General features: G+C 50.1%; 1 annotated feature.

The window, feature by feature from the left end:
* Window positions 962-1,671: an enhancer, noted in NCBI's record as "H3K27ac-H3K4me1 hESC enhancer chr1:5857583-5858292 (GRCh37/hg19 assembly coordinates)". NCBI's record gives its function as "activates a minimal SCP1, AML or CMV promoter by ChIP-STARR-seq in naive H9 embryonic stem cells {active_cell/tissue: H9 hESC(naive)}" and the evidence as "EXISTENCE:reporter gene assay evidence [ECO:0000049][PMID:30033119]".

Genomic DNA, 15,307 nt, shown 5'->3' with positions numbered 1-15,307 from the left:
CGGTCTTTTGCATCTGGCTGCTTTCACTTACATAAGGTTTTCGAGGTTGACCATGTGGTAGCACATGTCAGAACTCCCTTCCCTTTTCATGGCTGAGTAATATTCCCTTGCACAGCTCTGCCACATGTCCTTATCCACTTATCCGCTGACGGATAGTCGGGTCGTTTCCTTCTTTTGGCTACTGTGACTTATGCTACTATAAGCATCCATGTACAAGGTTTTATTTGAATACCTGTTTTCCTTCCCTTTGATTTTTAATGGTCCCTGTTTGGGTGATACATTGTGTGGTCACCCTACCCTTAGGGGGCCTCCCTAAGCCCTGGACTCCCATTTTCCCATGCTTGCCGAGTTGTGTCTTTTTGTTGAGAAGCTGTGTGGGGCAAACCCAGACCCTGGGATGTTGCCATCAGCGGTGGTAGCAAGTGCAGAGAGACTGCCCACCCTGTGGCAGGCGCCCGCATCCGCTGCCTGGCTCTTCTCCCTGAATTCTGAGGCTCCGGGGGAGCCGGCCTGAGGATTGTTGGGACCTGCTGGAGGTTGGGGATCTGTGGTTCTGGGCTCTGGAGACACAGGATTTGAATATACTATGAGGTGACACGGCCCGAAGGTGCTTGTTTCCATGGACTTCCAACTGCTGCCTGGTCCGTGGACAACTGGCCACGGCCACCCAGGGCCACGGTTGGCTGCAGGGAGAGAAGAGGCCTCCCTACCATGTTGCCTGGCAGGGCCCTGCCTGACACTCAGTGTCTGCAGAGGGCTGCATTCCTCAAGCCCCAGAGAACAAAGGGCTTACGCATAGTTCCCTGGGAAGGGAGCCTGGCGTGGCCTCTATATGTGAAGGTCAGTCCTGGCTCTGGGCAGCTGGGAAAGGAGTGTAGAGCTGGACTTGGCGGAGCCCCTCGGGATGCCCGTGCCCTTGGTTCACTGGCAGCCACCCAACACAGGCACTGTTTTTTCTGCAGCTGCAAAGGGATCAGGCCCCTTCTGACCTCATCGGGCTCTCCTAGGCCACTGCTGGCCCTGCAGGGGAAAGTGAGCCCTGGGAGGCCTGTCCAAGACTCAGCAGGATCTCCAGCCCTCCACCTCCTCTCTCCCCATCAGCTGTGCTCCCAGTGGACCTCCTAAACCTTTCGTTTGAGTTTTACCATTTTCTGACAGAGAGAGGAACCTTTCTGCATTCACTGGATTATTTCCTGCTAATTGTGGCTTGAAAATCCACCGCTGGTGGAAACTGAGCTTTTCAATAAAAGTGAAGCCCCTGCCTGATGCTGGCAGCTCAGGTGGGCTAGGAGGACGTGTGTTCAGCAGGAAAGCCTGGAGGAAACTCTCTCTCCAAGTCAGATACCCATTAGAGGCAGCTGTTAGGAAAGGGAAGCACATCAAGCCGACTCTTGAAGCCAGCTGTAGTTGCACCTTCCTGGGCTTGAAATGTGGTTCAAGCAGGCCATATTCCTGGTTCTCATGGCTGCTCTCCTTTGCTGTCCTGGTCCTGGCGCCGTGTTGCAGATCTCACCTGGGTTAGTCCCCAGGTCCCCTCCCTGCATTTCCAGGCGGCAGTTTCTATTTTATGGAAATAATAGATGCTGTCCCCAGCACCTCACTTTCTAGACTTCGCTGGATGGAGCCCACCTTGCCTGGTGCCGGGTGTGAAGTCTGAGGGTCGGCCCTGCACACCTGCACAGTGTTCTGCGTGCAAGGCAAGCGTCCTCCCTGTCCACGCCTCGGTCAGCAGGGGCAAGTTCACCAAACGAGCTGACCCCATGAACCACAGGCAAGTTCTGGCAATTTCCTCCTCACCCCTGGCTGAACTTCAAGCTTATGACTTTTCTTGTTTAATTTAATTTCTCTATTGAAAACAATCCCAGTCTTTATGGATTTCACTTTTGTGACTCTTAATGAACCTTTTCTCTTGAAGGAAGAAACGGGACTCTAGATTCTTTTTCTGTGGTCTCTGAGTAGGGAGCAAGGGGCTGGGGCTGAGCTTTCAGAATTTCGAGTTCAAGATCCCCTGGGAGAGACGGCTTCCTGGGCCACTCCAGTAAATTTAGAATCTGCAGGGCCTGGGAATCTGCATATTTAGCAAATTGACCCAGCAGTTTCTAATGCAAGTGATTTTTTTGGTTCACGGGGCCCTAGTGGAGGAAAGGCTTCAGTTTAGCTGAAACCTCAGCACAAGGCAAACCTCCGAGGCTCAGCCAGGAACAGGGCTGCCATTGTGCTATGTCTCCCGCTCCCTGCCTTGTGTCTCCTAGAAAACCTGTGATCATTTACACTCCAATAATCTTCCTTCCTCCACCTGTCATTCCTCTGCTCGCTTCCTCTCACTTATTTTCCTGAGCGTCTACAAAGTGCTGGTCTCCAGGAATAGTCAGATGCTTGAAGACAGACTCTGTCGGGGAGGGGCAGCCAGGATAGGGGCCAGGTGGCCTAAGTGAGACTTGCAGAGGGGCCACAGAGGAGGGGCATCAGAAAAGGTCCCATAGTGGTGACATGTGGCTGAGTGTACCTTGTTGTCTCTGCATGGAGTCGGGAGCTTCCAGCGTGGCAATGGCTCCCTGAGAGCATGGACCACCTTCCTGAGTGCCTGAGTGTGGATTGGGAGCCCTGGTGGCAACTGAGCCCTGGTGGCGACTGAGCTCTGGTGGTAACTGAGCCCTGTTGGTGACTAAGTCCTCGTTGTGACTGAGTTCTGATAGTGACTAAGCCCTGGTAATAACTGAGCCCTGGTGGTGACTGAGCCCTAGTGGTGACTGAGCCCTGGTGGTGACTGAGCCCTCGTGGTGACTGAGCCCTGGTAGCAACTGAGGCCTGGTGGTGACTGAACTCTTGTGGTAACTGAGCTGTCATAGTGATTCAGCCCTGGTGATGATTGGGTCCTGGTAGTGATTAACCCCTGGTGGTGACTGAGCCCTGGTGGTGACTGAGCCCTCGTGGTGACTGAGCCCTGGTAGCAACTGAGGCCTGGTGGTGACTGAACTCTGGTGGTAACTGAGCTGTCATAGTGATTCAGCCCTGCTGATGACTGGGTCCTGGTAGTGATTAAGCCCTGGTGGTGACTGAGCCCTGATGGTGACTGAGCCCTAATAATGACTGAGCCCTGGTGGTGGCTGAGTCCTGGTTGTGACTAAGCCCTGGTGGCAGCTGAGCTCTTGTGGTGACTGAGCCTTTGTGGAACTGAGCCCTGGTGGTTACTGGGCCCTGGTGCTGACTGATCCCTAGTGGTGACTGAGCCCTCATGGTGACTGAGCCCTGGTGCTGACTGAACCCTAGCGGTGACTGAGTACTGGTGGTGACTGAGCCCTGGTGGTGACTGAGCCATTGTGGTGACTGAGCCTTCATGTTGACTGAGCCCTGGTGCTGACTGAACCCTAGTGGTGACTGAGCCCTGGTGCTGACTGAAACCTGATGCTGACTGAATCCTAGTGGTAACTGAGGCCTCATGGTGACTGAGCCCTTGTGGCAACTGAGCTTTCATGGTGACTGAGCCCTGGTGGCATCTGAGCCCTCGTGGTGACTGAGCCCTCATGGTGACTGAGCCCTGGTAGTGACTGAGCCTTGGTGCTGACTGAGCCCTGGTAGTGACTGAGCCCTGGTGCTGGCTGAACCCTGGTAGTGACTGAGCCCTGGTGGTGACTGAGCCCTGATGGTGATTAAACCCTGGTAGTGACTGAGCCCTGGTGATATGCTGTGCAGAGAGGGCTCATACATGTTTTGGGTTGACTATTTGTATTGCACACAAATCTTGGATTCCCTCAGTGATATTTACCAGCTCTGGATGGTGCTGCCATCTTTGGGGACAGCTGGTCACTGGCCTTGGAAGTGGGGCTCCCCTTTGGCTGCTGTCACCAACCAGGCTGACCAGATATTTGCGGGAGAGTTCTGGATCCTTCCACCGCTCTGACCTGAGACAAAACCCACCACCTCAGGGCGTGGGATGTGACATTCTTTACAAGATGTTGGGGTTCAGAGCCCTGAGGGCTGACAAGTTCCTCCTCCTCGCTCCTTAGCACTGAATCCCTGGGAGCTGAGTTTCTCCTTGTAGCTTGGTCAGAGCAGTGCTATGTGCTGGGCACCTGCAGGGCTGGCGGCAGGTTGTGGTGCAGCACCCTGTGGGGCAGCACACACCTTTGCCCCTCCTCTCCCTCCCTCACCCTGGCTAGCCTGGGTTTGTGGTTTGTACCTTATGAATAAAATCTCAGCCCTTGAATCCTTGCCTCAGGCTTGGTTTGCTAGAAAATGCAGGTGAAGGCCTATTATTTTTGTCTGGCTTGGGGTGAAGGGGGTTTTGCTTTGTTCTGGTTTCTTCTGGGATCTGCTGATACAAAACCCTAGTCTAGCTCACAGCAGAGGGCTCAAGGCACCACGGAACAGAGGCAACCATCTGTTCATTTCTGTGTTTCTGCTGGTGGTGAGCAGGACCCCAAGAGTTCTGGTTGCTGCCTCAGAAAGACAGAGAGCTGTGTTCCCTGTAACCACTTGAAAAAGAGAGGAGCTATTTGTGTGTGTGCATGCCCTTGCAGGTGAGCATGCATGCGTGTATGGCATGTATATTGTGTATACACATGTATAGGTACATGTGCATGTGTATGCATGCATACACGTGCATGCATGTATGGGCGCAGGTGCATATATGCATATGTATTTGCATGCATATTTGCACCCATGTATGTACATGTGTGCATGCACACACATGCATATGCATATATGTAGGCATGTGTGTTTGTGACCCACATGTGCAGGTGTGTGTGTGTGTGCACGTGTGCAGGTGCATATGACCTGCCCTCAGAGGACACGCTGCAAAGGGGAGAGTACTCATAAGCCCTGCATCTTTTGGGAGCCTTGGCCTCACGTGGGGCTCCAGAACAGCACTGTCCCCTCGTCTTGCCCTGCTCAGAGCCCCTCTTGTGTGGGATGTGTTGGGCATCTGGATGGCCACCTCTTGTCCCCTTCTGCTCTGCCCACTTGGTTCTTGGTGATGTATCCTTCTCCACAGTTGTGATGACTTGCTCCTTCCATTTAGCTCTAATTAGGTTCCATAAAACATCTCCTGCTGTGAGTTCTGGTTCAGTAATTACTATATCTTTCAGGTTCAAAGAAACCTGAATCTTTCCTTTTAGTAATTTAATAGATATTTTACACTGTAAGGGCTAAATGCCCTCCAGATTCCTTAGTCTTCCCCAAAGCAACTCTGAGAGGTGTTGCCATACTTACTGAGAAAGACCAGTTTTCCTTTTATTTCTCTCTCCAGTGTCAGTTCGGATTTGCATGGGGCTCTGGCCTCTGTGTGTGAGACAGAAATCTTGTGGTCTGTTCCCAAGGTGGCCAGCGGCATAAAGCCCTGTGAGATGAGCTGCTGGAATCTTCCACTGTGCACCTGCCAGCCTGGGGTGTGGGGTGCTCATGCTCTCCACATCATTAAGAAGATTTCCTTTCTTGCCTTTAATCCCCACTCTAAATACTGTGTTGGGCTGCTGCTGATAGCAGTGGGAAGATGCACAGCTGCCCTCCTTGGAATGAAGTGGCCAGGCTGGTCCACGCCCAGCCTGCTTCCCTCCTGCCATCTGGCCACCACCACCACTGTCCTGGGCCACAGAACGGTCTCCAAATGCTCTCTCTGCTTCTGTTTGCACCCCCCTCCCCCAACCCATTCCCTACACATCAGCGAGATGTACCTGGGACCCTGACAGCTCTGCCTTAAAGGGGGCAGGGGGCTCCCATTGCTCTGGAGATGACAGTCCAGCTCCTTCCCAGGGCTGCCTGGTCCCGCTGGGTCTGGCCTCTGTTCCTTGCCAGCCTACCCTCACCCCTTCCATGCGCTACCTGGAGGGAGGTGGTGTTCCTTCCTTCTGCCCTGGATGCTATGCTCACCCTTCTGCCCTGGATGCCAGCCTCAGGCTGTTGGAGATGGAAGTTGGGGCATACGGCTTTTGCTTGGATGTGGCCTTTCCAGGGGAGGGAGGCAGTTCACACAGGGCCCCTGCCCAAGAGTGGGGTGACACTTACCCTGGGGTTTGGAAGCAGAGAGGGAGCAGCCTTCCTTCTCCCTGCCTCCTGTGGGAAGACCCTGCTCATGTTCTCCCAGGGACCACCTTCGCCTTTGATGGGGAGGTCACCAGTGTCTGCTTTGGGAACCCTCCACTCTGAGGCCATTTCCTTTGGCCCAGGCTTTCTAGGAATGCCAATGAGAGTTCTGCCTTCCTGCCTGCTCCTTCGTCTTGTTTTCAGTTGGTCCAGACTTGGCCAAGGAGAGGAAATACCATGTCTTGGTCCCCTCTTGAGCCCCAACAGAGTCCTCAGTGTGTGTGGCTTCCCTGCTCAGATACTTCTCCAGGCACAACCCTCCCTGGCCACAGTCTGAATTCTAGAGCCTGCCTTATTTCCTTCTCAACACCAAGGCTGCTTGAACTGCAATTGCAACTTGAAATGATAAACATATTCGCGTGTTTTGTTGGACAACCATCTCCCTGACTGGACCATAATGCCCTCTGAAAACAAGGACAGGACAGGACAGGACAGTGCCTCTCTTTTACCCCTCAGTGCCTGTAGCACCTTGCAGGTGCAGCACTTGGTGGGTGTCCAAGCCGCCAGGAAGCTCATAGTCCAGGGGAGGGGACAGGCCTGCAAACAGCGCTCACAGGAGTTGCACACCTGCTCCAAAAGAGCTGCATGAAGGCGGCTGTGAGGGGAAGAGGTGACATGGTCATTGACCCCACCCTGTTCACCATCATTGGGCTTCAGTTGGCTTCCACTAAAATGGGGATCCTAATAATTGGGTAATTAATCCATGGGGATTTTCAGTAGGTGACAGAGACTGCTGTGATTCTTTGAAACCATTCCATGGTATTTGCAGTAGCTGATACCACAAATATGTGGTTTCCAAGTATTAGGTACAAAGATTAGAGATGCCCTGGCTAAATAGGTATCTTCTTTCTACCCCATGGAGGTTAGGATGAGCAGGAAGACCCTATGGTGGCATCTGTTTATTAAAGCTGCTCAGGAGGGGTAGCGGCTGTAGTGGGCGTCCTACAGATGGAACATTCTGGAACAGTTTGACAGTCCCCTGAACCCCCAGCTTGGTGCTTTCTAATCCCACCACAGGAAGGGAATTCTACTGGTGTTCATAGGGTCCTGCGGGGGAAACAAAGACCACAGATGGGATGAACTAGTGAACCCCAGAGGATGGCAAAGTCAGGTGGACCAATGGGGGCACAGAGCTCTCCTCCTCCAGCCCCTCCCAACCCTGCAGTTAGCTCATGTCTGGCTATCAAAGCTTGGTTTTGAATCGACAAGTGGACTCAATTCTTGTGGTATTGTCTGGAAGACACAGTGATGGTGTGAAGCAGGGAGGGCATGGAGCCCTCCTGAATCTTCCTCCGTCTGAGAACTGGTTGGGGGAGGCTGCAAGATGTGGAGAGTGGCTCCTTCCACATGGAAAAGCCAGAATACAGCCAGGTGCAGTTATTTTGTCTGGTTTGATTCCACATGGATTGCCTGCCTCTCCCTTAGACCATAAGCTCCACTGTGCCTAGACTCAGTGCATCCCAAGGCTCAGTAACTATTGACTGGAAGGTTGGATGGGAGGACATGCTTAGATTTTGAGGAAAAGTCAGAGACCCCCCTCTTTTGAGGTTTGCTGATCTCACCACTCCTGGGCATTCTCAGTGATCCCATTGCCCCTTGCCAGGCCGGGCCAAAGTGCCCTGTGCATACCCCTTCCGGCTCCCTGCCTGTATTAGTCCATTCTCATGCTGCTATAAAGAAGTGCTTGAGACTCAGTAATTTATGAAGGAAAGAGACTTAACTGACTCACAGTTCTGCAGGACTGGGGAGGCCTCAGGAAACTTATAATCATGGAGGAAGGGGAAGCGAACACGTCTTGCCCATTTATCTTCACATGGTGGCAGGAAGGAGAAGTGCCGAGCGAAGTAGGGGAAAAGCCCCATATAAAACCGTTAGATCTCATGAGAACTCACTCACTATCATGAGAACAACATGAGGGTAACTGCTCCGTGATTAAATTATTTCCCACCAGGTCCCTCCCATGACATGTGGAGATTATGGGAGCTACAATTCAAGATGAGATTTGTGAGGGGATACAGCCAAACCATATCATTCCACTCCTGACCCCTCCCAAATCTCATGTCCTCACATTTCAAAACACAATCATGCCCTTCCAATGGTTCCCCAGAGTCTTAACTCATTCTAGCATTAACCCAAAAGTCCAAGTTCAAAGTCTCAACGAGACAAGGCAAGTCCCTTCCACCTATGAGCCTGTAAAAATCAAAAGCAAGTTAGTTACTTCCTTGATACAATGCGGGTGCAGGCATTGGGCAAATACACCTGTTCCAAACGGGAGAAATTGACTAAAACAAAGGGACTACAGGCCTCATGTAAGTCTGAAATCCAATAAGACAATCATTAAAACTTAAAGTTCCAAAATGATCTCCTTTGACTTCATGTCTCACATCCAGGTCATGCTGATGCAAGAGGTGGGCTCCCACAGCCTTGGGCAGCTCCACTCCTGTGGCTTTGCTGGGTACAGCCCCCTTTCCATCCGTTTTCATGGCTGGTGATGGGTGTCTGTGGCTTTTCCAGGCACATGGTGCAAGCTGTCAGTGGATCTACCATTCTGGGGTCTGGAGGATGGTGGCCCTCTTCTCACAGCTCCACTAGGCAGTGCCCCAGTGGGGACTCTGTGCAGGGGCTCCCCTTCTGCACTGCCCTAGCAGAGGTTTTCTGTGAGGGCTCTACCCCTGCAGCAAACTTGTGCCTGGACATCTGGTTTCCTGATTCTGGCATTCTTTCTGCATTAGTTAGCAGGCATTCCATCCCAAGGAAGGACTTTCCTTTATTAAACTTATCATATTAGTATTTATTACTTTTGCTTATTCCACCAATTAAATCATATTTATTAAATTTATTTATAAATAATAATAATATTACTAACATTTTATTGGGGGACCTGCCCCGATAATCACGTAGGTTCTTTTCTATTTTCCTAAGCGTTGGCTGGCTTGAGAAATAAAGGGACAGAGTACAAAAGAGAGAAATTTTAAAGCTGGGCATCTGGGGGAGACATCACACATTGGTAGGATCCGTGATACCCCACAAGCCGCAAAAACCAGCAAGTTTTTATTAGGGATTTTCAAAAGGGGAGGGAGTGTGCGAATAGGTGTGGGTGACAGACATCAAGTACTTTACAGGGTAATAGAATATCACAAGGCAAGTGGAGGCAGGGCGAGATCACAGGACCACAGGACCGAGGTGAAATTAAAATTGCTAATGAAGTTTCAGGCACCATTGTCATTGATAACATCTTATCAGGAGACATGGTTTTGAGATCAACTGGTCTGACCAAAATTTATTAGGCAGGAATTTCCTCTTCCTAATAAGCCTGGGAGTGCTGTGGGAGACTGGAGTTTATTTCACCTGTGCAATCTCGACCATAAGAGAGAGGTATGCCCCAGGGAGGGGTGGGGGGCAGTTCAGAGACCTTCCCATAGGTGCACATTCTCTTTCTCAGGGACGTTCCATGCTGAGAAAAAGAATTCAGCGATATTTCTCCCATTTGCTTTTGAAAGAAGAGAAATATGGCTCTGTTCTGCCCGGCTCACTGGCAGTCAGAGTTTAAGGTTATCTCTCTTATTCCCTGAACAATTCCTGTTATCCTGTTCTTTTTTCAGGGTGCCCACATTTCATATTGCACAAACATACATGCTGTACAATTTGTGCAGTTAATGCAATTATTACAGGGTCCTGAGACGATATACCTCCTCCTCAACTGACAGGATTAAGAGATTAAATTAAAGACAGGCATAGGAAATCACAAGGGTATTGATTGGGGAAGTGATAAGTGTCCATGAAATCTTTACAATTTATGTTTAGAGATTGCAGTAAAGACAGGCATAAGAAATTACGAAAGTATTAATTTGGGGAACTAATAAATGTCCATAAAATCTTCACAATCCACGTTCTTCTGCCATGGCTTCAGCCGGTCCTTCTGTTTGGGGTCCCTGACTTCCTGCAACAACATTGCTAATATGTTCATTTATTAAATTTATTTATCATTCATATTATATATGTATGGACTTACAGTTTTCTTTTTTTGATGGACTATAATCCATGTTATTTATTTTTCTGCTCCAATTGTTATAGATTTGGCTCTGGAGAGCCCCTTCCAGCTGGCCCTGACCCCTTCTGACAGCTTAGCACCCCCTGTGAGTGCTGCCTTCTTCCAGCCTTGTCCCACACCCTGCTTTCCCCTGGAAGTGCTGATGAGACTTTTCTGGGTCCTCAGATACTGATCACAGTTCAGGGACCTGGGACCTCAGTGCAGGATCTTCATGGGCTGAGATGGATGTCTCTCTAATAGCCCATGTTGGTGGAGATTGGCAATTTTGTCTTTTGGAGGTGTGTGTTTGTGTGTGTATATAGGATATATAGGATCTATATTTTCTGTCTTCAGGTTTGGAGCATGGTGGGGTTAAACACCAACTCTACTCTGATGAAGCTGCCTTGAAACCGTTAAGTTGGGTAAACACTTGGCCACAGTGCATCCATGTTTGACTTAATCCTTCTTCACAGAAGAAGCAGCTTTTCTTTTTTTCTTTTTTTGAGATGGAGTCTCACTCTTGTTGCCCAGGCTGCAGTGCAGTGGTGCGATCTCGGCTCACTACAACCTCCGCCTCCCAGATTCAAGAGATTCTCCTGCCTTAGCCTTCCAAGTAGCTGGGATCACAGGCATGCACCACCATGCCTGGCTAATTTTTGTACTTTTAGTAGAGATAGGGTTTCGCCATTTTGTCCAGGCTGGTCTTGAACTCTTGACCTCAGGTGATCCACCCGCCTTGGCCTACCAAATTGCTGGGATTACACGCGTAAGCCACCGCGCTTTTCAAATCGATGCCTGCACAGTGTAGCCAGCATGGCAGGGGCTGAACAATGGTTCCCTCCCTGTCTTCTCTCTTGCTCCAAGGGCAGAGATTCTTGTTAGGTTTTCTGTAGGCTCTGGATATCCCTGCAGAGTCTCCTGCCCACAGATGCTAAGCAGACATTGGCTAATCCTTTGGGTTCCTTTTCAGTCAGCATTTATGTGTCTGTGTGTGTACATATGTGTATGGCATATATGTGTGGCTGCATGCATATTATATATGCACATGTATGTGCATGTACACACATGCATATGTGCATGGGTGCATGTGTGTACATATATGCACATGAGTGCATAGGCATGTGTGCCTGTGTGTATGCATGAGTGTGCATGCATGCACACATGAATGTCCATGTAAGAGGCTATGTGAAGGACTAGCTGATCATTGGCAAGAGGAGTCGCATCCAGGCTGCTGTGGAGAGCTCTTCAGTGCTGGGGTGCTTTTCACCCATCTGCAAGAGCAGTCATTTATTAGGGTTAAAAAAGAAACAAATTCTTTCTGTGTAGCGTGTGCCAAAAATAGGCACAGACATTTTTAATGTAATGTCTCTGGGAGTAAAGAACAGATTGTCAGTAACGTGAACCTGCCATTCCTTTCATCTGAGAGTGTGTCCCCAATCCCTGGGGGCATTCCAGTCCAGAGGAGACCCCTAGGTAGTTCGGACAGGCTGACCTCTAAGATTCCTTCCTGCTCTGAGGAGGCATGGCTTCCTCAGATACTGTCAAAATCCTGGGAGGAGGGTACCTGGCAGAGTTAGCCATGGCACCCCCAGCCCCCTCAGCACTCCAGTCCCCACCTGAGGTCCCAGGGAAAGACTGGGATGCTGCTTTTCACTAAAGTGGAAATGAATGATTAGGCTGTGTGTCTCCTCCAAGGCTCCATTTTTCTTGCTTTTTAATGTCTGCCGAGTCCTTCCATGAGCCAGCCTCAATGTCAGATTCCTTTTGTGACTTGTCTGATTAAATTTTTACAGCCTCCTTGGGGGATGTGTGTGTGTCCCTATCACTCTCACAGGCCAGGCAGGCGAAGATCAGGGAGGTCAGTGATTTCTTCTGAATTTGTCCCACCAGGGAGAAACTGCCCGCCTGAATTCCGCACCAGCCCTGCCTGGGACTGTAGAGCGAGGTGTGGCTGCTTCTCGCCCTCAGTTTCTAGGCCAAGGACTTTTGGCCAGGGTGAACTGGCGGCACTCAACCCTCCCTCCCTCCTTCCCTCTTTCCTTCTCTACCTGCCTGCTCCCTCTCACCCTCCTTCCTTCCATTTGCCGAACACTCCATGTGTTGGGGATTTAGCAGTAACCCCCGTCCCCACCTTTTCCCTGTCCTCCAGGGGCTGCTGGTGTGCAGAGGAAGGCAGGAGACAGATCCTACCCACACTGTCATGCGTGTGTGCTTTGGTGTCCTAGAAGCACAGAGCAGGAGCCCTGAGCTCAGCCCCAGGTGAGAGCATCCAGGAGGCTTCCTGGACGAGGGTTCCCGGAACGCTCCATTCGCCCTCCCACCTCAGGGCCTTTGCACCTGCTGCTCTTGCTGCCTGGGACATTTTTCACCTGGGGATTTGTGTGGCTCCCTCCTGCCACCCTAACCACCACAGGGAAAACTGTCTTCCCTCTAGCCCATCCCTGCTCACATATACCAGCTCACATCCACATATATTTAATACTAATGATTTTCTGCCCCCTACCAACTAGATCATAAGCTTTCTGAAGGCAGGTGTTTTGACTGCTTTCATCGTGGGCCGCCTGGGTTCTGACCCCGGACAGGTGGAAGGAACTGGGCCATTACTGGGGTCGTGGGAAGTGGGGTGCTGCTCATAGCCTGCCTGTAGCCGGGGACCTCTGATTCACCTGCTCACAGGTGCAAACACCACCTCACCCCTCCGAAATTCCCACGGGCACACGGTGCTTCTCTGGTGCAGCTGTGCCAAGGGTGGTTCCTGAATGGTTACGCGTTTGAGACAAGATAAGCACAGAAACTGAGAAGAAGCATTTAGAAACCTTTGTAGCAATTTTCTGGGTAATTTTATGTCTGTTGAATCTAATAGAAAAATTTGGGCTTGTGTTTTGTGTCTCTTTTCTTTTTCTTTTTCCAGTCATTCATTTTTGTTGTATTTTACAAAAGTACTGGTTTGTGACAAATTGAAAATAAAAAAAAGTGTCCTTCATCACAGATAACTTGATAAGCGGTGCTTTCAAGAACTATATCGTTTACACTGGACAACATTTAGGGCATGTTTGTGGCCCTAGATGGTGGCTAAAACAGGATGCCAAGGGAATGGGGGTGAAAGGGATGATTTGGGGACAGGCCATGAGCAGCTGCTGTAGGAGCTGGTCCGTTAACACCTGGGGTGACTTCAAATCTTCCAATGTCTGAAAGGCTGTCTTGGGAAGGGCTGACCAATTCTGTGTGTAGTTAGAATTTTGTCCCCAGAAGACACTTAGAAATATTCATAGGATGAAAATGTGAATTAATGAATACTGTGTACTGAATGTGAGTGTGAATTAATAAATAATGAATGTTTCGTCCCTCCGTCCATCCATCCACCCATCCATCATCTATCTGTTCATTTATCCATTTGTTCCTCCATCATTTATTTAAGCATCTATTATTTAAGCATTTATTAAGCACCTGTTATATCTATTATGGTCCAGGCGCCGTTCTAAGGGCTGAAGACGTAACAGTGGACAAAGCATACCAGTTCCTGCCCTCTTGGTCCTGACATCCTGGTTGGGGAGGAGGGCAGCCAGGCAAGTCATCGAGAGCCATAGTTGCGCTTTGTGCTAAGAGCTATGAAGGAGAGAGAATGGTGGGTGGTGGGTTGACTTTGGACTGGATGGCTGGAGAATCTTATCCAAGCAGATGGCTTTCAGCCTGAGACCGGAGTGTGAGAAGGATCCACCCCCATGAGCATCTGGGGAAGGACATATTGGTGGAAGAGACAGAGAAGTGTGTTCAGGAAGCTGAGAGAGGGCACGAGGCACTTGGGTGGGATGCAGTGTGGCTGTGGGATTAGGTGAGGCCAGACTGGGCCAGGCCTTGAACATCACAGTAAGTGCCATGGGATTTTTTTTTTTTTTTTTTTTTTTGCAGGTGCAAAGGGAAGCCTCTGGGGGTTAAGCCAAAGGAGTGGCCTGGTCTGACCTAGACAGACATATGTTTATTTTAGATGGGACAATTGGCCTGGTAAGGACAGTTGTCTAATAATACAGTGAGCTCCTGGCCCTGCAGGCATTTCAGTGGGATGTGGTGAACACTGGCCAGGCATGTTCTGCCCCTGAAAGTGGCTGGGGCTCTCCTGAGGACCACGCTGCCGCCCACCCCCCCCCCCACACACACACTTCTGGGTTCCCGGGACTGGAAAGCCGGCCAGGGGTCACAAAGCCAGTGCCTGTGCCAGTGAAGTGGGTGATGATGTGGCCAGGTGAGAGTGCCCGTGTGGCACTGTGGGGCCAGGGGGACCAGGGCAACTGTTGGGTCTCTCTTGCTGATGGCCCTGTGGGAGGGTGGGCTGGTGGCACCACATCTCTAGCTTGTACAAGAGAACTCAGAGGTTGGGATTTTATTTTATTTTTATGTTTATTTATTTATTTTTGAGATGGAGTCTTGCTCTGTCACCCAGGCTGGAGTTCAGTGGCACAATCTTAGCTCTCTGCAACCTCTGCCTCCCAGGTTCAAGTGATTCTCCTGCTTCAGCCTCCTGGGTAGCTGGGATTACAGGCACCTGATACCACACCCAGCTAGTTTTTGTTTTGTTTTGTTTTGAGAGGGAGTTTTGTTCTTGTTGCCCAGGCTGGAGTGCAATGGCGAGATCTCGGCTCACTTCAACCTCCACCTCCCGGGTTCAAGTGATTCTCCTGCCTCAGCCTCCTGAGTAGCTGGGACTACAGGCATGCACCACCATGCCTGGCTAATTTTTGTATTTTTAGTAGAGAGGGGGTTTCACCGTATTGGCCAGGCTGGGATTCTTTTTGGGGAACAAACAAGCAAACTTGTCTGACATGTAGGCTTGTCTGGGATTTGGGTTTTTAAGGCCTCATGACTCAGTTTACTGGCCTGTCTCCTTGTGGTACTTCCCAGGTCCTCTCAATTAAAAGTCATGAATAAAAATAAAAACAGCTAGTCATGTGGCAGGCACTGCCCCAAGCGTCCTAGGTACATGTTAGTTCACTTAATCCTCCATTCCACCTACCAGGCACATACTATTATTTATTTTTTTATTTATATTTATTTATTTTTTATTATTATTATTATACGTTAAGTTCTAGGGTACATGTGCACAAAGTGCAGCTTTGTTATATATGTATACATGTGCCATGTTGGTGTGCTGCACCCATTAACTCATCATTTACATTAGGTATATCTCCTAATGCTATCCCT

Source organism: Homo sapiens, chromosome 1 (genome assembly GCF_000001405.40).
Source record: "Homo sapiens chromosome 1, GRCh38.p14 Primary Assembly".
NCBI lineage: Eukaryota > Metazoa > Chordata > Mammalia > Primates > Hominidae > Homo > Homo sapiens.
The sequence above is the reverse complement of the archived record's forward strand: the minus strand, read 5'-3'. Positions and strand labels throughout refer to the sequence as shown.